General features: G+C 35.0%; 1 long non-coding RNA gene and 1 pseudogene across 1 annotated transcript in view, besides 1 other annotated feature; one reads left to right on the top strand and one right to left on the bottom strand.

The window, feature by feature from the left end:
* The window catches only part of LOC107984239 (uncharacterized), a 44561-nt gene extending 25334 nt beyond the window's left edge, over positions 1-19227 (bottom strand). Inside the window, exons 1-2 of the long non-coding RNA XR_001747475.2 lie at positions 19099-19227; positions 18339-18444 (exon numbers count right to left, since the gene is read on the bottom strand). This is a non-coding gene — a long non-coding RNA (uncharacterized LOC107984239). The remainder of the gene's footprint in view (positions 1-18338; positions 18445-19098) is intronic.
* On the top strand, positions 5139-5428 carry CYP2C61P (cytochrome P450 family 2 subfamily C member 61, pseudogene; annotated as a pseudogene).
* Positions 5145-5439: a silencer, noted in NCBI's record as "tiled region #14987; HepG2 Repressive non-DNase unmatched - State 24:Quies". NCBI's record gives its function as "represses a minimal TATA promoter and a strong SV40 promoter by Sharpr-MPRA in HepG2 cells {active_cell/tissue: HepG2}" and the evidence as "EXISTENCE:reporter gene assay evidence [ECO:0000049][PMID:27701403]".
* Positions 19228-21935: the final 2708 nt, after the last annotated feature.

The raw sequence follows: 21935 nt of genomic DNA, 5'->3' as shown, positions 1-21935 counted from the left end.
TAAATGGTTTAATGCTTTTTATAAATTTAGAAAGATTTAAATATAAAAATCACAAGTTTAAATCACCTACAGAGTTAGAGATTTTAAGTTAAAATCAAAGATGTATTTTCTTGACGCTTTGTTGTGATAATTTTTATTAATCATTAAACTTATTTAAAATAACAATGCACAAATTATTCCATAACATAAAAAATAATGTTATAATTTGGATTCATTTTATTATTCTCACAATGACTTTATATTTCTCATACACCTACCCACTAGAGAAAAATAAATTCTTGTCTTCCCATGTTTATCAAGTGGATGTTTTTGTCTCATTGCATTGATTTCCTAACAATTACACTCCCAGCTATAGCACTGGTGTAGGTTGTTGCCCACAACAAGAAAGGTCACATTCAATCCTATTATAAACAGAATAGAAAAGAAAACCTCCTACCTTTAAAACGAAATAAGCACTAAATTCTTGCATTCAAGCCACCTAAATTTTCAAACTGCAGTAAATTATCCCTAATATCATTCATTACTTCAGTAGTGCTTTGCATTTATTTGACTCTTTGCATGTGTGGTAGAAGTGTCTTTTAAATAATTACAATGATAGGAGAGAGATTTTAAAAGAGAGAGATTTTAAAAATATTTTTAACATCTTAATTTAGCCAAAATAAATGAATCAGCATTCTATGCTAATTACCTCAAAAAAAAAAAGAAAAAGAAAAACAAAGCCTCCCCAAGAAATCTAAAAACCTGAGATAATAATAGTTAAGGTCTATTTTTTAAACTGGGGGCCGCCCCTCTCTACTAATAGTAGAAATAAAATATTCCAATGCTTACAACAAACCTTTTGGGAGTGAGAGGAAGCTAGAAACAGGTAGTTTCTTTCTTTCTTTCTTCTTTTTTTTCTTGTTTGAGGGGGAGTTTCTCTCTTGTCATCCAGGCTGGAGTGCAGCGGCATGATCTCGCTCACTGCAACCTCCGCCTCCCAGGTTCAAGCAATTCTCCTGCCTCAGCCTCTTAAGTAGCTGCGATTACAGGTACGCACCATCATGCCCAGCTAATTTTTGTATTATGATTAGAGACAGGGTTTCACCATGTTGGCCAGTCTGGTCTGGAACTCCCGACCTCATGTGATCCACCTGCCTTGGCCTCCCAAAGTGTTGGGGTTACAGGCATGAGCCACTGCATGCATCCGGCCTGGTATTTTCAATTAATACAAATTTTGATGTTTTCCTTGTAGTTAATGTTTTGATTTTTTACTTGCACCTACAGGTGATTTTGTTTTTATTTTATTCAGTTTTGTTATTAAGGACTTGACAGGGTTTTTAAATGAAAATAAGCCATTTAGGAAATAGTTGGTTCAGGTTCTATTTAGAAGGGTATATATATTTAATCTAAATATTTGTCAGTTTCTGCAAACCACATTATGCCTTCCAGTTAACTGAAATGCAAATGAATTAAGGAATTAAGTGTACTTCTATAAACCTGCTCTCTAGTTGTAGTTTTGCTACTCAGTAATTTAATGACCTTAAATTTAAGCTTCAATTTCCTAAAATAAGATTATAATTATTATTGAAAATGCTGTTCTGATTTTTTTCGGAAATTTTGGTGGGAAACTGCAAGAATACTGACATTCCAAGGCTTAACATGGATCTTTATCACACTGGGTAAGTGGCATGACAGTAAAAAACAATCTTGTTAAACTATGCCTGTGGCCAACAGGTAAAGGGGACTCCCTGTGGCTATCTGAGGTGCTCAAAGTTAAAACAGAATAAGGTTGTCATGGCTGGAGTGAGGGAGCAGTCACATACTCTTTGTTCTCAGAAAGATATTGTAAAAATATCACAGGACTTCCCTTTCTACACTCAAGCCAATCCAGTTCCTGTTGTCTGGATTAAGATAAACTGTAGCCAGAAAGACGGCCCCTGCCTCACACCCCCATAAAGCCCCCACCAGTAGTTTGAAAGAAATATCTGCCAGAAATTTCTGGTTTGGGGCCTGGAAGCCAACCAATCAGAGATCACCTGAACAAACCCACCAGCCTCACTACCCCATCTAATCGGAGCTGTATCAACCAATCAAAACCCAGCTGTGCTGACCAATCAAAATTAAGCAAGTTTCAATCCTTCACTTGCATAAACAAGCATTATTGGGAACTTGGGCAAGAACTTTTGCTGCAAAACCCTAACACTCTCTTTGTTCTCTGGAACACTTCTTCATTTTACGTTACAGGTTCTAAGATTCCAAGGCCCCATCTCCCTGATTTGCAAACTGTTCACTGGAATAAAGTGTCTTTCCTCCAAATTCCTTTTCAGAGAAGTTTTGTTCACAATCTAAAAAGCAGGCATGACTGGTAGTCATGGAGAGAGACAGAAGCAGCCAGTACTGTAGGAACAGAATCAGTGACAGATCTGAGGTCATATATTTGAAAATAGGTGAAAGATTGGAAGCTTACAACATCAGGAATGGTTTGGAAAATTGAATTACAAAGCACCCTGCATTAAATATTTGCAGAAATAGGTTATGAGAAGAGAAATGGTATTTTGCTTGCATTTGTGTTTGTTTGTGTGGTTCCGGGTCAGTTTTGTCTGTTTGTTTTGACTTAGGAGCACAGAGCTAGTGAGGCCACAGAGTACCTTTAGTTACCAATGCAGAGTAATTAGTTACCACAGAGTAAATGAGTTACCAATGCACAAACACTTGCAATATGTAATTACTATTTTTTAATGTGCCAAATGAACACGTAAGTCAAAATTAAGTATTTTAACATTGGGGTTTCTTATTCTGATTCAAAAATAATTATTGAATATTCTCCATATGTAAGCAATATTGTTATTGTTTTGGAAATAAAAGTAAAAACAAAATCTTCTCCCAACACAGAAATAATCTCCACAAAGTTAGTAGAAAAGAAAACACTTTTATTATTGAATAAGCATTAATACAGAATGTGGCGGGCATCACAGGCCATCTGCTAAGAGATTGAAAAGACAGAAAGAAATCTTACACTTTTATATAGTCAAATAGATAAAACTCGTATACATGCTTTCAAGATAGTAACTCGTCCTCAAGTAAAAGGACTTGACAGCACCATTTGTCATATATAGTTCACACTCACTTCACCTGGTAATTAGGGTGACCATCTGTGTTAGCTAACTGGCTTTATCCACAGGAAAAATAAACTTATCATATATTTATCATAGGAAGCAGTTTTGTAGTTTGAAACAATCAAAGTTAGGTTCCTATCCATCCATAGAAAGTGAGAGATAGGAATTTTATCTTCTTTGATTATTACATTTCAAATAAATGGCTCCCAGGTGCTCGAGGAAGACATTCTTGATCATAAAGCAGACAAACGGTCTATCTACTTTTCAAAAGGATTGACATACATTTCAAAGAGAGGATAAAGTACTTAAAATTACAAGTTTTCTAAAGTAAATATTCTAAGAAAAAGGGGAAGGGATAATTCTCTTCCCTTATTTTAACAGGGAGAATTAAGTTGACAATTTTTACTTATTCATGTATTTATTTGTTTGTTTTAAGTAGAAATAGGGTCTCCCTATGTTGTCCAGTCTGGTCTCAAACTCCTGGCCTAAAGCAATCCTCCTGCCTTGGCCTCTCAAAAGCCTGGGATTACACTGAACCACAGTGCCGAGACAAGCTTCTTATTTTAAATTTGGATTTATCCTTACACTAGACACTGTACAGGATACAGTGATGAAAAAGATAAAGTTTATGACTTCAAGACATGTATAGAAAAGGCATCTGAATTAGGACCAGAATTACTATATTCATCATCTATCCCAGTTTATAAGATCAAAGATTCCCAAGTGAATGTTGCAAAAACTTTTATTTCCATCTGACCAAATTAGAAAACTCAACTTTTCTTTATTCATATATTTTAGCATGTAGTATTGAACTCAACAATCAAATGAATCAATTAACTGTTTTTATATGTATTGATTTCAAATTGATAAAGTAATTTGATAATTTCTTAACTACTATAAGCAAAACTAATTTTGAGAAAATAACACAAAAATGCATAAACAAAACTATAACTTCCATTATTTCAAATCATATCTGTTGATTTCCACATTCAATGAGTTATTATTTATTTAATATGTATCTCCTTAGCAATAATAGGTACTCATCACTGTATCACATGCTAAAGATAATATGTTGAAAAATATATTACAACAATATTGAGATGAAAGTGGATTCAGATTCTACCTTTTTTTTAGTTTTGCAATTAGCAAGTTGCTTAAGCCCTCTGACTCTTAGTTTATTTATCTACCAAATGGTGACACTACATATGCATTTTATTGGGATAATGTAATAATTCAATAAGATTATACTTTTTAAAAATTAACACAGTATTTATTATTTAGAAAATGCTCAAAATGGTCACTATTACTTTCAATTAATATAAAAAAGATATAGATATATGAATATATGCGTAAAAGCAATTTTTTAAATGTTATACTGGCAGAATATCAGAAATTATTGGTAATCTACTTGGCCCAGCTTTAAAAATTGGTTATGGAAAAAGGCATCTGCATTATGGGGATGGGAATGTGGCCAAAAATCCCCAAATAAACAAACAAAAAACCAGCATAGAGAATCTTTAGCTTAATTCAACCTAGGTCTTTTATTGTTAGTCATAATTGCCATATTGAATATAGGCATTGTATTTTAATTCACTTTCATCTTTTATTTTCATCTGTTACCTGATTAGCTGAAAGTAAAAATAACTGGCTCTTCACCAGCAATAGTTTAAGGCGCATTGCATTACATTATTAAACCTCTCTGGTTTTCCATTTTCTCATTGCATAGGGTTTCAGCCAATCTGGTTACAATATTTTTGTGAACTATAATAAAATTATCAGAAAAAAACAGAATAAAAATTTAATACTTGCCTTACATAATCTCCAGTTGCCTTATTAGAGTCAGCAGTCACAAAATTAGTTTAATGAATATATTCAGAACAAGCAAAACAGGGAAAAAGAAAATAATCATGAACTCTGTCTATATTGTTTATTGAAAGTATGTGTATAGATGACTAATATAGACAATTGCCATTGAACTTATAGTTTTTTTCATTCCTCTATTATATCTAAACAAGCTCTTCCTTCCGCTCCAGCCGTGTAAGACATGCTTGTTTCCCTTCTCCTTCCCCCGTGATTCTGTGTCAAAGGGAAGCTCCCACATGACCTCACTTCTTTCCTATTTGTTGGAAATATTCTACAGTTAAATAGTAAGAACCTCAGCAAATCCATAACCATGCTAGCAAAAGATTATGGCCCTGGGTTCACTGTGTATTTTGGCATTAAGCCCACTGTGGTTGTATGGTTTCAAAATAATGAAGGAAGCCCTGATTGATCGGAGACAAGAGTTTTCTGATAGAAGGAGTTTCCCAGTGATGGAAAAAATCACCCAAGGATCAGAAAAGTTTTTCTTTGCAGAATGTGTGTGGGTTTGTAAGTTGTAAAGACTTAAAGTAAACTAAGAAATTAAGAAATTAAAAACAAACAAAAACTAAACAGTTTGAAGTTAAAAATTCTTCATAATAACTGCCTATATACACTTTGAATGAACACTGTGTATACCAATGTTTAAAGGTTTTAACATGACAAAGGCATTCTGCATGTTAATTTTTAATCTTTAAATTTTAATTTAGGTTGGATGATGACAACACTATTTGCATAGGATAATATATTTTTAAGTATATCTGTGTTTTGTTAGAACAGTGCTCACAGTAGAGTAACCAGTCTCATAAAAGTATGTTGATAGAAACAGAAGAAGAAACTTTTGGAAAAAATTTTAGCAAGACCAAAATTTTTGTCTTTAATTTTTATCCAGAATGATACAAGTGATGCTGTATTTTCAAAATTCACTCAGGTCTCATTAGTAGTCAGTTCCAATTCATCTCATAAATTTAAATTAGTTTTTTATAAAAGACATGAATTCTGCATCATGAGTTTCCTATGTATAGGTTTCCTTTTGGTAGAAATAAAACCAAAGTGATTTATTAAATGAAAAAAATGTTCATTGACAAACTTTTTGCAAATATGCAATATCAAGATTATCATTCACATCATTTACAATTGGTGTCAAATTTTAGAACATGTCATTACAATCTGTAAACACTGTTTTTTTCAAATTTTTAACTTTTGTGTGTGCCCTCAATTTTATCTGCTATTGATATACATTAAATTTCTTTATTGCATGAAAGTAATAAGATAATTAAAAATACCAAGCATATCAGATCAATAAGCAATTTTGGCTGTCCATTTCACTTCCTTAAAAAAAAAACTATGACAAAACTAATTTATCTTTAAGAATCACTTAGAGTTTGTTCCGTATTTCAATCACTCTAAATCCAATATTTTTTTCAATTAAACATCATACTTCTACATGCAATACCACGCACTCATAATTATTTTCCGTATTATCATAAAATTAAAATGTTAACCTTTGCATAACTCACATATAAGCCAACTTATAGTTGAGAGCTGACGAGCTCTTTTTTTTTTTTTAATTTTTTGGCAAGATTTTTTTGTGTGTGTGATGAAACACTGTGACTAAGTGACTATCCCACAGAACATAGATCTACATAAACCTTGCATGTGAAGTCATATTTATTGACAATATTATTTTTTATAGTTGTACACAATTTAGAGCTAGCATTTAGAGCTAGAGTTTATCATATCAATATTATGTTTAAGTTGCTTAAGTTCTAAAATAATTACCTTGTTGGGCTATGAATTTATCAGGTTACAATAAAAAAATACTATGGTAAGTTCATTTTTTCTATTAGTCTTCTCTATCATTAGTTAATTCTTGAATGTGTCAAGGTATAGTGTTGGAGAGCGGTACTTGAGTCAACTACTTTGCTACAGAAACATTTCTAGACAAACCCCTTTGCTACAATCATTCATTAGTTTCTCAGTAATTGTACATGGTGTTTTTATTCTTGGGAAAATGAAGTGCCATGTTATATAAATTCTGCCAAGCACTAATGTTTGTATTCAAAATATTGAACATCTGTTGTCAGCTTTCTATTTTAACACTTTTTCTTTCATATAATTCTGTGGTTTTGAATGCATCTCTTTATGTTGTGTATATAATTGGCCTTAAGTTTGATGCTTTAATCGTTTCAGCAGCCAATTCATCTCCTCAAATAACATACTTTTTAATCATTTCATCACCAATTACAGCTACAAAATGAAATCAATATATGAGAGATAATACTTCCGAGTAAAATTAGTTTGACCTTTTTTTTGGTCTTTGCTTTTTAAAAAAACTTCCATTATCACTATTTAATATACTACTGAAATAAAAGATGTGTCATTTTTTGACAAAAAATGTCCAGTTAATCTTCTTTTACCATATGTAAATTAGCATTAAAATTTTTTAGCCCTTCTTTGAAATAACTTTCATTATTGCAATTTCATATACTACTACTGAACAAAAAAATGTGTCGCAACTTTACAAAAAAATTATTATAAATCTTTACTGTCTCTATATTAGGGTTAAAATTTTGATTACTTAAATAGCTAATAATGGTAAGCTATACATTTAAAATATATCTGATAAAACCTTAAAATTTTCTGTAAAATAAATGAGCACACACATGTTATCATATTTTTATTGAATTACACCTCACAAACCAACTTTAAAACATCATGTCATCCCTTGGTCCTCCTGCGTATAACTAAAATGCAGCTCTTGCCTCTTATGACTCATCAGGCTAGTTGAGCAACACTTGGTCTAGTTTACACCCTGTTTAGTGAGACAAATCCACTGATTGTAAGTGGGATGACATAGAAACGACAATTTGATCAATAGTGTTAAAATGTACACTGCTCAATTTTTGTTCTTATTACAGGCCTGTGACGACCAACTCACAGATAAGTATCAGTCCTCCTATCACATTGAGTAGTGGCGATGCAGCCCCCAGCACCCAGCTGGTAATTTTCACAGATGGAATTCACATCCAAATCTGGCATACTTCAAAGCCCAAGAACTTGCCTCTGCACCATACTACTTCCCGAAGCTATGGGAATACTTACTTTGTACCAAATACATTTTGTACTCAATTGTTCCATTTTCTTCTCTTTCCAGAAAACAAGGCCTTCCCAGTGATTTCAAACTTAAGCTGTTCTACAACAATAACTCTACTTCTTATACTTCTCATACATGATTGGAGGGCAATTAGCAGTGCCTAAAAAAATCCTCAACATTAAAATGTAAGTTTAAGGAAGAGAGTACATTGAAAGAGACAGTCTCTAGGCTGTTTTTTTTTAAACATTTAACTGTAACATAGTTAAAACTATTTCAAATCTAAAGGGACTTTTTTAAATTTATTTTTTATTGTACTTTAAGTTCTAGGATACATGTGCAGAACGTGCAGGTTTGTTACATAGGTATACATGTGCCATGGCGGTTTGCTGCACCCACCAACCTGTCATCTACATTAGGTATTTCTCCTAATGTTATCCCTCCCCTTGACCCCTACCTCTGACAGGCCCTGGTGTGTGATATTCCCCTCCCTGTGCCCATATGTTCTCATTGTTCAACTCCCACCTATGAGTGAGAACATGCGGTGTTTGGTTTTCTGCTCCTGTGTTAGTTTGCTGAGAATGATGATTTCCAGCTTCATCTATGTCCCTGCAAAGGACATGAACTCATTCTTTTTATGGCTGCTTAGTATTCCAAAGACATTTATGTGGCCAACAAACATGAAAAAAAAGCTCATCATCACTGGTCGTTAGAGAAATGCAAATCAAAACCACAATGAGATACCATCTCATACCAGTTAGAATGGCGATCATTAAAAAGTCAAGAAACAACAGATGCTGGAGAGGATGTGGAGAAATAGGAACACTTTTACACTGTTGGTGGGAGTGTAAATTAGTTCAACCATTGTGGAAGACAGTGGGGCAATTCCTCAAGGATCTAGAACTAGAAATACCACTTGACCCAGTCATCCCATTATTAAGTATATACCCAAAGGATTATAAATCATTCTACTATAAAGACACATGCACATGTTTGTTTATTGCAGCACTATTCACAATAGCAAAGACTTGGAACCAACCCAAATGCCCATCAATGTTAGACTGGATAAAGAAAATGTGGCACATATGCACCATGGAATAAAGGGACTATATTTAATTTTACTTTTGAAATGTATTTTTATCCCAATTTCTTTCATTGTCTAGCTAAAAGAGGATTTGAGGTGATAGTGCCTTAAATGGAATGTTTGTTTCTTAGAAAAGCCATTTTATCATTGCAAACAAATACCGTAAATAAGAAAAAAGACAGAGAGAGAAATAGGAAAACTATACTATACTGAGCTTACCAAATAGAGTGTCACCATAAATAATTGCTGAGAATAGCCACTACCAGAAACTTAATTTAAGTATAAAATTATTTTCTCAGATAAAGTATGTGGGCAAAAACAAAACCAGAAAAGTCATAAGAAAGCCCCAATTCTAACAGTGAAAACAATGGATGAACCTGGAGGACACTGTGCTAGACTAATCAGATGGATAGAAAGTAGAATGGTGGTTGCCAGGCCTGGGGTGGGGAAAAGGGAGCAGTTGCTTAATAGGTATAGTTGTTTAATAGGTATAGTTTTATTTTTGCAAGATGAAAACATTCCAGAGATTGGTTACAAAATAATGTGAATATACTTAACACTATGGAACTCTACACCTTTGAAAATGGTTAAGATGGAAAATTTCATGTTGTGTGTATTTTACTACAATTTAAACAAAAATTGTTGTGGTTGCTTCTTCTCATACTCCATTTCATTGGAATTTTCAATAACCTTGAACTCTTAAACCACAATGATCAGTATTGCTATCAGTTCACATAACCTGCCTTCCTGAAATAAAATCTTTATCTATATTTAAAAATGAGGAAACATGTATCAAGTTATATGCAACAGAACCACTGCTCAAATAATATAAATATATTCATTTAAGGAAATAATTTGGGGATGAGTTAATATACTTAAATGGTGTTTGTGAGATATATTTTGACCACTAGTTCCTTTCTGGAACAGCAGAATTTATTGTGAGTAAACTGGGGGATGGGAGGGGAGCATTATGTCTTATTATATGAAATAAAATTAGTATGATATTGTATTGGAGTACAGTTTCATTTAATCGGAAGTTTGTTAAGTCAAGTAGAAGAACAGTGCCAGTAACTTATTACTGGCTTATTCTGTGAGAACTTACTTTCTCAACCTGTTTGAAAGGCACTATAGCAACTAGAAAATAAATTTGCTATTTTACCCTTGTCTCATGGGAGGCCAGGAAAAATCTGCTAAATAAAATACAACTTTCATCACACACTGATGATTCAATGTTTGGGCTTCAGGATTTTGAAGAATAAAATATCAGTGTCACCCTTAATTATGTTAAAGTTGGGTTTACCACTTTTATACAAAAAACATACAAAATATTGAATTTACAGGCGACAGGATCAAAATAACTCAAAAGGGCAAATATAGTGTGTGACAGAGACTGCTTGTTACCTAAATCCTTATCCATTATTTTTCTTTAGTAAAATAACCCAAGTTTTATTCAGCACAGTGTGTAATAAGCAAACAAAACCCATTTGTTAGCCTTCCTTCCAGCTTGGTGAGACCATGTGAATAAGTTCTAGGCAATGCAACTTAAGCAAATGTGTGTTACTTTTGTGAAAAACATAAAAATAAGCTGGCACAAATCCTTTGCTACTTTTTTTTTTTTCTTTCTTCTTTCATGGTGGCTGACTACCAAAGTGATGGCTGGGACTCTCACAGCTCTGGGCCATGGAGTCATAGGCTAAGTGTGGCCTAGTGGCTAGATAATAGAAGCCTGAATCTCTAACACTATAAAGACACTTACTTTGGTGTCTGAATTTGGCTTACATAAAAATGTAAAGTCTATGTTTTATTAAGTAATGATGACTTTGGATTGTTCTGTCACATTTAAGTAAAAGTTAGCCTAACTGCACAAATTCAAAGCAGAGTGTAAAACTATGATTATTAAATAAAAATAGGATGGGTAGAGAGGACCCTAACAGCAACAACAAAAAGGTAAATATATATGTTATTAAAATTTTATTATAGACTTAATTACTGTTTAATTTAATTTTATATTTACCATTATACATTGTGTGTGTGTGTGTGTGTGTGTGTGTGTGTATACACCTATATATGGGCTTTCAAATATACTTTCAACTATTATACTATGCCATATAATATAGTTTGACTATGTCCCCACCCAAATCATGTCTTAAATTGTAATCCCTGTAATCCACATGTGTCAAGGGAGGGACCAGGTGGGAGGTAATTGGATCATGGGGGCAGTTTCCCCTACTCTGTCTTGTGATACGGAGTGAGCGCTCATGGGAGCTGATGGTTTTATAAGCACCTGTCATTTCCCCTGCTTGCACTTCTCTCTCCTTCCACCATGTGAAGAAGGTCCTTGCTTCCTCTTCCCCTTCTGCCATGATTGTAAGTTTCCTGAGGCCTCTCCAGTCATGCAGAACGGTGAATCAATTAAATCTCTTTTCTTTATTATTTACTCAGTCTTGGCTCATATCTTTATAGCAGTGTGAGAAAGGACTAATACACCTTATATAGTATGGTATCTGTAGTTAGTTTAGAGATTAAGTGTTCTACAAAGCTTGTTAAAACAGAGAAAAGAAAATGAAGACATTTCACAGCTCTCTCCATTTGATATTTCATAGAGGTAACCACTTTTAAATTTCTCTAGTAAATTATTTAATTTTTTATGAATAGCATTTATAAATAGCATGAGTATATTGACCCTCCACCCCCATCATAAGTTAGCTCTGATATTTTGACCTGTCATTTTGGTAGATGACAATCTAGCTCTCTTTCACCTTCTTGCCCCAATAATTTTATGGACACATTTGAATTATCTGATGCATTTATGTCTTAAATTTGGTTAGATCAATATTTAGTGTTCACATTGTTATGGCTTTGTCAATGCTAGTTACAACTAAACCATATACAGCTGAGCCTGAGTAACACAGATTTAAACTGAGCAGGTCTATACATGGATATTCTTCTGCCTATACCACCCCTGAGACAGCAAGAACAATTCCTCCTTTACCTCCTCCTCAGCCTGCTCAATGTGAAGATGATGATCTATTTCCACCTAATAAATAGTAAATATGTTTTCTCTTTCTTATGATTTTCCTAATGCCATTTTCTTTTCTCTAGCTTACTTTATTGTAAGAATACAGTATGTAGTACAGATAACCTACAAAATATGTGTTAATTGACTATGTATGTTAACAGTAAGGCTTCTGATAAATAGTAGGCTATTTTTAGTAGTCAAGTTTGGGGGAAGTCAAAAGTTATATGTGGATTTTTGACTTTGCAGGGCTAAGTGCCACTAACCCCCATGTTTTTCTAGGGTGAACTTTAGTAATGCATTACATTGCGATTGCTTTTTCTTTCCCCCACATTTTGTTTTCCTTAGAGATAATCATTTTCTAGTTTTACATATTGGTTTTATTTTTCATGTTCTTAGTAGCAATTCTATACTAATGCCCCCTCAGTATTATAAAACTCCTCTTAGTGTTATCAAATTAATTATCTCTTAATCAGTTCCGTATCTTTTGATGAAATCCCTCATGGTGCTACCTGACTTGTTCCACTCTGGCTAACCTTCTCTGCAAGCAGGCTAATCACTTTTCACCTCGGGTAGAAACAGGTCATCACACCCTTTTCTAGTGTTGAATTCCATTTCCTGAATTGCATGAGTCCCTCCATCTGAGTTATTTCAAATTTTGATGAGGAACATTCCCCATTTGCATCCTGGGAAAAGTGCATAAGAGGCTGTCTTAGATGGCTGACTAATCTCCTTATCAAACAGTCATTTGGGCACAGCTTTGTGTTTTCCTAAGCAGGTTTTTCTCATTTATTTCAATATGGATAGTGTGAAAGTTTTCTGAATCTTTAAATTCTTCTTTCTGATTAATAATTTCTTTTCAGTTTTTCTACTTTTTTTTTTTTTTTTTTTTTTTGAGACGGAGTCTTGCACTGTCGCCCGGGCTGGAGTGCAGTGGTGTGATCTGGGTTCATTTCAACCTCTGCCTCCCAGGTTCAAGCGATTCTCCTGCCTCAGCCTCCCAAGTAGCTGGGATTACAGGTGCCTGCCACCATGCCCAGCTAATTTTTTTTTTGTATTTTTAGTAGAGGCGGGGTTTCACTATGTTGACCAGGCTGGTCTCAAACTCCTGACCTCGTGATCCACCTGCCTCAGCCTCCCAAAGTACTGGGATTACAGGTGTGAGCCACCGCACCCGGCCTCACTCTCCTCTTTTCAAGTTTTAGTATAAGCAATCAAAAGGAACCAGGCTACTATTTCAACAATTTGCTTACTTACTTCCTCAGACAAATATCCAGGGTTATTGATTATACATTTTATCTTTCACAAAGCAATAGAACATGAACACGACTTAACCAGTCTTTGCCACTTTATAACTAAGATTGTCTTTCCTCCATTGTCTGATAACATATTCCTGATTTCCATTTTTAGAGCTCATTAGAATGACCTCTGCTGTCTATGTTTTTACTAATATTCTGTTCAGAATCACTTAGGTATTATCTAAGAAGACTGAGGCATTGTCCACAGCTCACCTCCTCTCCTCCCAAGCTTTCACCTGAATATCCCTTAATGGTCCATTCACAGCAAAACAGGCTTTTTCTAACATGCACTTTACAACTTTTCAGCCTCTATCCATTACTTTATTCTAAATCTGCTTCAACATTTTTAACTGTTTAACAGCACCCTCACTTCCTAGCACCAATGTGTGTCTTAGTCCATGTGGACTGCTATAATAGAATATCATAAATATCATAAACTGGGTGGCTTATAAACAATAGAAATTTGTTTCCCACAGTTTTGGAGGCTGAGAAATACAAGATCAAGCTACCCGCATACACAATGCCTGGTAAAAACCTAATTCCTGGTTCATAGATGGCAATCTTCTGGCTATATGCTCAAATGGAAGAAGAGGTGAGGGATCTCCCTGGAGCTTCTTTTAAAAAGACACTACTGACTTCCCAAAGGCCCTTCCTCCAAACACCATCAATCACATTGAGGGTTAGGTTTCAATATATAAATTTTAGGGGAGTACAAACATGCAGTTTGTGGAAATCACTTTTTCCATCAGCTATTTTTTTTCCTTTTTGTTTGTCTAGGTCTCTGATTTTTATGTTAGATGTTTTCCTTAGCTAGCCAGTAATCATTGGCTATTCTTTCCTTTTAAATTTCCAATTGGCTCCAGTTATACCTATAAACTTCATTCTAACAGAACCTGGTCAGTCCATCTCATTGAGAAATCCTTAATCACTAGTTCCTCAAGTCTTTTTTAGAAGACTGATCAGGTTCCTGAATGAAGTTTTTTTTTCAACCTTTTGCTTGTTGCGGGTGCAGAGAGAGAGAGTATATATTCAGCTGAAAGCATTTGAAATCCTAGTAAGGTAATAAACTTAGGGGCTTTCAACAGTTGTTACTATTAAACTTATTTAAATACATGCTGACATCAGCCTAAATCCAAGAAGGATTAGCCTTGCCTTAATGAAAAAAAGGCAAATATTGCATTGTAAGCCATTTTTACCCAGCACAGTTGCAGATTCTAAAAGTTTTCTAATATGCCACATTGGTAGTACTTTGGAAAAGTTGATGTCCAGATATCGGGGACAGCAAATACACTAGTAATTTAAGAAGTCAGAGGTATTTGTTCAAGACTAATATCACAAAGTCATTAGTTTAGACAACATGAAAAAGAGCCAGATCATAAGAAGGTCTGAAATAAAATTAGGATTGAATGAGGATGTATTTGGGACTGGAGGGAGGGGTGTGTTAGGAAATGAGTGGGGAGAGGCAGGATGGTTTTTGACAAATGGTATAAACTTTAATGCCCAGCTGGTTTCCCACCAGATTCATCCACAAGCAGGACAGAAAGTGAAATTATCAGAAATTTCCTGACTCTTCCTGCCTACTTTCCACATTATTATTGGTCTTTAACATAGAAATAAAAATGGTTAAATTGATAAAAGCACCTGTAAGGTTAATAATTCAATTACTTGACGAGTATCTTTGACTGCTCTCTACATACTCTATTTCCTTGATTCTAAAACACTTTGGATTATAAAATACACTATCAATTTAATAAGCTTTTTTTAGAGAAAAACTATTTCTACCACATTTGATGTATATACTGATTAAAAATATCTCAATTTCAGAAACTAAAATAAGATAACCTATGTTGGGAATAAGAGACTGATACCGCAAAATATGGCATTTTAACATGCTGAACTAAAGAAGGAGGCTCATAATCTCTCTGATCTCACTACCCGCTCTCCCAACTATTGTCCCTCAATCCTCTGTCTGTCCTGAAGCACAGGAGGAAGTTCGTCTCTAAATTTCCTTTATCTCCCTAAAGTCCAGACCTAACAAACAGAACAACTGTTTTTCTTTTGCTCTCTCTTGTTTTATTACCTATTGCAGAAAAGAACATCAAGAATGTAACCACACCTGAACAGATTCCTTCATAAGATAATTTTTGTCTATGAGGATCATTCAAATTCCATGAGCAATATTTACAAGTCACTCTCTGTTCCCTATCCATTCATTCTCCCTAGTAATCATTTATTGCCCTCAACAGAATTCTTCTTCTCCCCCTTCCCATAAAATGTTTCCAACCATAACCTCTTTTGTGAGGATCCAAGCCTCCATTCTTTCTGTAAACTCAACATGGTATATGAGCTTCTTAACTCCAGTGGGGAAAAGGGTAATCATTCTGTGGTTCTTTGCCATGTGTATGTTAATAGGTTTATAGACCAAAATTAAAATTCCTAAGCCATCCAACTGACTGAATGGACACCCATTTCGGCCAAGGGAACCCAAAGAAACCTGAAACACTATTTGAGGTCATGATGGGAAGGGGGGATAAGATATGCCTCATACCCTCCTCCCTTCAGAGTTCAGGCACAACTGATCAGCATTAACATTAAAACAAAATACGTTCTTTGTAGTAGTAAGATACCAAATTCGAACCTGACTCTAGTATATCATCACATGACATATAAAGAAGGAAAGCAAAATATTTTACCCTCAAATATGAGTTTCTTTGCCATTTTTTGAAATGGTCCTGCAATGCTGCCTTTTTTAGGAGAAAATTTGCATCTGTAAAGAATCTCTATTAACATAACTAGATCTTTCCAGGCCCTCCCAATCCTAAATAGATTAATTGAGAGTCTAACACTTTTTAAAGGCCGGAATAGGAAACATTTGCCATCTGTTGTCTGTAAGGGCAGCCAGCTATGAGACTTCATCTACATAATAAGAATCTTCAGCTCCACACCCCTTATCTTAACCCATCCAATCCTCTTTATTGATTCTTTAGATCATAATTATTCTTTAGATAATAATTAAACTCTTTCAATCAACTGCCAATCAGAAAATCTTTGAATGCATCTATGACCTTTATGCAACCACTTTGAGTTGTCCCACCTTTCCAGACTGAGCCAATGTAAACTTCACACATATTGATTTATGTCTTAAGTCTTCCTCAAATGTAAAAACATCAAGCGGTAACCCAACCACCTTGGGCACATGTTCTCAGGACTTCTTGAGACTATGCCTCTGGCCATAGTTACTCATATTTAGCTCAGAATAAAACTCTTCTGGCTGGGTGCAGTGGCTCATGCCTGTAATCTCAGCACTTTGGAGGCCAAGGCGGGGGGGACATCACTTGAGGTCAGGAGTTTGAGACCAACCTGGCCAATGTGGTGAAACCCCATCTCTACTAAAAATACAAAAACTAGCTGGGCATTGTGGTGGGTGCCTGTAACCCCATCTACTTGGGAGGCTAAGGCAGGAGAATCAGCTGAACCCGGGAGGCAGAGGTTACAGTGAGCCAAGATTGCGCCACTGCACTCCAGCCTGGGTGACAGAGCAAGACTAAAAAAAAAAAAAAAAAAAAAAAAAATTAGGTGTGGTGGTACATGCCTGTAATCCCAGCTACTCAGGAGGCTGAGGCATGAGAATCACTTGAACCCAGGAGGCAGAGGCTGCAGTGGGCCAGGATCATGCCTCTGCACTTCAGCCTGGGTGATAGAACAAGACTCCATCTCAAAATAAATAAATAAATTAACTAATTAATTAATAGCCTCTTTCAAATATTTCACAGGGTTCAGCTTCCTTTTTTTTTTTTTCCATGAACAGATTTGTTTGCCTTTTCTCCAATTAACCTGCCTTCTGTGAGTTGATTTTTCACTAAGCCTTCAGAGGGTGAAGGGAGTTTTTCCCTAGGCCCCTACAAGTATAACCTATCCTTGAGAAACACAGAACTAAGCATCCATTTCTCTGCACTTGCAATTCAAGAATGTCTTCAAATAGAAATTAGCAAGTATGATTTCATCTCCATAAATAGTACTGCAAACATTGCCTCTTGAAAAAGGGCACTGTCAAGTCCTCCTCACAGAGTCAACCCGTTCAAGCAAAAAGCGTAGGGTCTTTTGCTTGTCTTATAACTAAAAACAACTACAGAAGTAATTTAAAACCTTGTTCTGAAAAATAAAAATGTTATTTTATCTTCTCTAATTTGGAAAATATATGAATGATATTTGCCTAGTGACATCTTAAACATCAGTGAATTTTTCTTCATTTGTCTGTATAAGGAAATTTGGTATTTCAAGTATGTCACTGAATGCAGATACGTGACAAAGAGATCTAACAACTGGGAGAGTGTCATGCCAGGTCAGTCTTGAGCACTTTGTAATGATATTGGGGTGGTTGAGTGGGTAGGGTGGCAGATATAATTTTCACAGCTTTAAAATATCTCATACAGCTGGATGCATAGGAAGTGTTATTAGAGATCCATCTTAGATTTGAGTAAGTATCCCCAGACAGCACCCTGGATGAAGGGGTAGAAGAATATTCCTGGATCTTATTGTTCCCATCACAATTCCTGGGTTTATTTCTTCCAGTATATGGTGATCATATGACAGCTACAGCCCCAATTTTAATGATTATCTGAGAAATGTGAAAACTTTAGTCATTTGCCAAACAACAGTGTATTGTGGAATAAAATAATTTTTTTCTGAAAATCAATTCGACTGCTTTAACTAAGTTATAAAATCAGCATGGCGCATTTTATTTTGTTTTATCTTCAGTTTTCTGAAAACGGAGAAAAGACGTAAAGCTAGGAAACAAGGAAAATATTTCCTGTTTCTATGTTCCATGCTTTAGGAGCCCTATCCATTAATTGCACAATAGAGTGATCAAAAGAAAACCAAATAACTGTACCTGATCAGCATGACTTGCTCGGATATGTCATTCATTCTCTGGCTTTCATTGTTCAGGTCCAGAGTCAGTCATTTGTTAGCAACTCTACATATCTTCAAAGGCAATACTGAGCAAGAAATAAGTAATATCACTCTGTGTATCTCATTGCAATTACATTTCTTATATGCAGTCCATCCACAGAATTAATTACACGATAACATGTCTATTTCATAACCAACCACATCTCTTTCTGCTTATATCTACTCTATCTTTTTTATTTTAAGAATTGGATATAAAAACAATTTCTTGCAAAAGCCAGTGCAACTACTTTTACTATCTACACAGAACTAGACTAGAAGTTATTTCAAGAGCAGACAGATGCTGGAATTGAGAATTTAGAGTCCATAACATCAACCCCCATAACATCTGGTACTTTTGAGAATATTTTTTATACACTTCTATTTTTTCCTGGTATTTTTAAAATCATTTATTTTTGGACTCACCCCATCACTAGTCTTATCCTCATCCTTTCTGATATGTTTTCATTTAACAGAGCTGCATTAACTCAAATAGGCATTCATTTTATTCATTCACTCAACAGCTATTTATTTTATACCTACTTTGTGCATGGCTTTGTTTTAGACATTAAAGACACCACAGATAAGATCCCTGTCCTCATGTGTTGTAAATTCTAGTGGATAAAGACATAATTTCTAAAAAATCAGCTACAAGTATAATTATAATTAGGAAAGAAAAATGTAGTTTTCAAGGAAACATGTACCAAAAGGATATCTTCTAGTTAGAGAGATGGAGAATCAGGGATTCATCCCTAAGAAGGTGACAGCAGTGTTGATCTCCCTTACTGGCACATGGAAGGTACTTATTCAGATGAAAGACCTGTGCATCCTTATAGAATTACTAGTTCTGGAGAGGAGTCAGACAAGAAGAAGAGAGAATATGCCTTAGTATGTTTTCCTGGATTCATCTGACAGCAGTGAGTTAGAGTTTTCACATGACCTGCCTCACTCATCATAACATAAGCTAATGAATGACCTCCAGATTATGCCTATAGATATGTTCCAAATATTCGGTGAAATACTCATCAGGGATCTAAGTTGAAAACAACTGAAACAAACTCTGGGAAATATAAGCTGTATATATGTAGGATAAATTTATTTGGAGGGCCAGATAAACAAGTGTGAAGTTTACATGGGCAAAACAGTTGCCTTAGCCCTCCCTCATTTTGGAGGTTGTCCACTAAAGATATGATCATCAGGACCACTAGTGATCAGAAACTTCAAGCTGCACCTCACATTCTACCATGTAGACACAGGGTCCTGTGATGGGCACTGTCACTATTGCTTATCTAATTCAATATAGCTGCAAGCTCTGCCATCACTCTCTACCCAAAATGAATTCTTCAAGGAATTTATTTTATCTCCTCAATATCTCCCCAGATAGAATCTATGTAAGTGGATCTGATTATTAGAAACTTGATTACCTGCCTGGATCAGCATAATTTCAAGCTGGATTGAGAAAGTAGACATTTGGTATGTCAGCTATATGGAAGAAAGTAGACTGCATGTTTAAAGGTGAGAATAGCCCCAAATAAAGGTTAGAGCTGAAAAAACAAACAAACAAAAACTGATGAATTTCTCAATTTTCACAATTTTGATTTCCTAGTACTCCATTTTTTTTCATCTTTAGACTTAAAAACATTTCCACCTAGCTTGATTTAACTTTCTGACATAATGTTACCTGACTTCAAATTATACTACACAGCTATAGTAAACAAAGCAGCATTGTATTGGCATAAAAACAGACACATAAACCAATGGAATGGAATAGAGTGAAATCCATACATCTGCAGTGAGCTCATTCAAGTTCACTCATGTCAAGTGAACACTTGACAAAGGTGCCAAGAACATACACTGGGGAAGGGACAGTATCTTCAATAAATGCTGCTGGGAAAACTAGATATCTATATGCAGAAGAATGAATTTAGACCGCTATCTCTTGCCATATACAAAAATCAAATCAAAATGGATTAAATATTTAATTATTAAATTAAATATTTAAGACTTAAATATTTAAGACTTTGAACTATGAAACTACTAAAATAAAACATTGGGGAACTCTACAGGACATTGGACTGGGCAAAGATTTCTTCAGTAATACCCCACAAGCACAGACAGCCAGAGCAACAGTGGACAAATACAGCCATACCAAGTTAAAAAGCTTCTGCACAGCAAAATGATAATAATAATAATAATCAACAAAGTGAAAAGATAATCCACGGAATGGGAGAAAACACTTGTAAACTATCCATCTGACAAAGGATTAATAACCAAAATAATATAAGGAGCTCCAACAACTCATCAGGAAAAAATATAATCCAATCAAAAAATAGGCAAAAGATCTGAATAGACATTTCTCAAAACAAGACATGTAGATGGCAAACAGGCATATTAAAAGGTGCTCAACATTATTAACCATCAGAGGAATGCAAATCAAAACTACAATGAGATACCATCTCACCCAAGTTAAAATGGCTTTTATCCAAAATACAGGCAATAGCAAATGCTGGTGAGTATGTGGCGAAAAGGAAACCCTTGTATATTGTTGGTGGTAATGTAAATTAGCATAGCCACTATGGAGAACAGTGTGAAGGTTCCTCAAAAACTGAAATAGAACTACCATATGATGTAGCAATCCTACTGCTAAGTATATACCCAAAAGAAAGAAAATCAGTATACTGAAGAGATATCTGCGCTCCCATATTTATTGCAGCACCATTCACAACAGCCAAGAAGCAACCTAAGAGTCTATCAACAGAAAAATGAACAAAGAAAATGTTGCACATATGAAACTGCCTTTACAAAATTATGACAGTAAGAGAAATCTGACATAGATTACTCCATCTTGCTTCTAACCTCCAAGCTCTCCTTGGTCATTCCTGGGCATAGGTCAAGCTGAATCTGGGAGAAATTTAGTTTATAGTCTAACCTTAAAGCAAGGATGCTAATAGCCCTCCCCAAAACTAAACTTCTTTGTAAAATTAATGAAAGGCCAGCCAGGCACGTTGGCTCACACCTGTAATCCCAGCACTTTGGGAGGCCAAGGTGGGCAGATTACCTGAAGTCAGCAGTTTGAGACCAGCCTGGCCAACATGATGAAACCCCGTCTCTACTAAAAATACAAAAATTATCTAGACGTGGTAGCAGGCACCTGTGATCCCAACTACTCAGGAAGCTGAGGCAGGAGAATCACTTGACTCCAGGAGGAAGAGGTTGCAGTGAGCTGAAATCATGCCATTGCCCTCCAGCCTGGACAAGAGTGAAACTCTGTCTCAGACAAAAAAAAAAAAAAAAAAAAAAGAAAGAAAAAGAAAAAAGAGCTAATGAAAGGTCACAAAGTTAGGATTATGAGAGGGATCTGAATTTTGCTAAGATCTAGGTGTCAGCAAATGACAACCGGCCATTGTTCCAGAAAGCACAAGATTTGTACCTTCTCTAATGATGCCTAATGTTAGATAACATCACTATTGTGGAACTTAAGATTTGCCTTTTGGATATCTTTTCAGACTTTTGCATTTCTGAAGACTGTCTAATTCCACCT

Source organism: Homo sapiens, chromosome 10 (genome assembly GCF_000001405.40).
Source record: "Homo sapiens chromosome 10, GRCh38.p14 Primary Assembly".
Classification (NCBI taxonomy): domain Eukaryota; kingdom Metazoa; phylum Chordata; class Mammalia; order Primates; family Hominidae; genus Homo; species Homo sapiens.
Note: the sequence above shows the minus strand (reverse complement) of the source record. Positions and strands in the feature narration are given on the sequence as shown.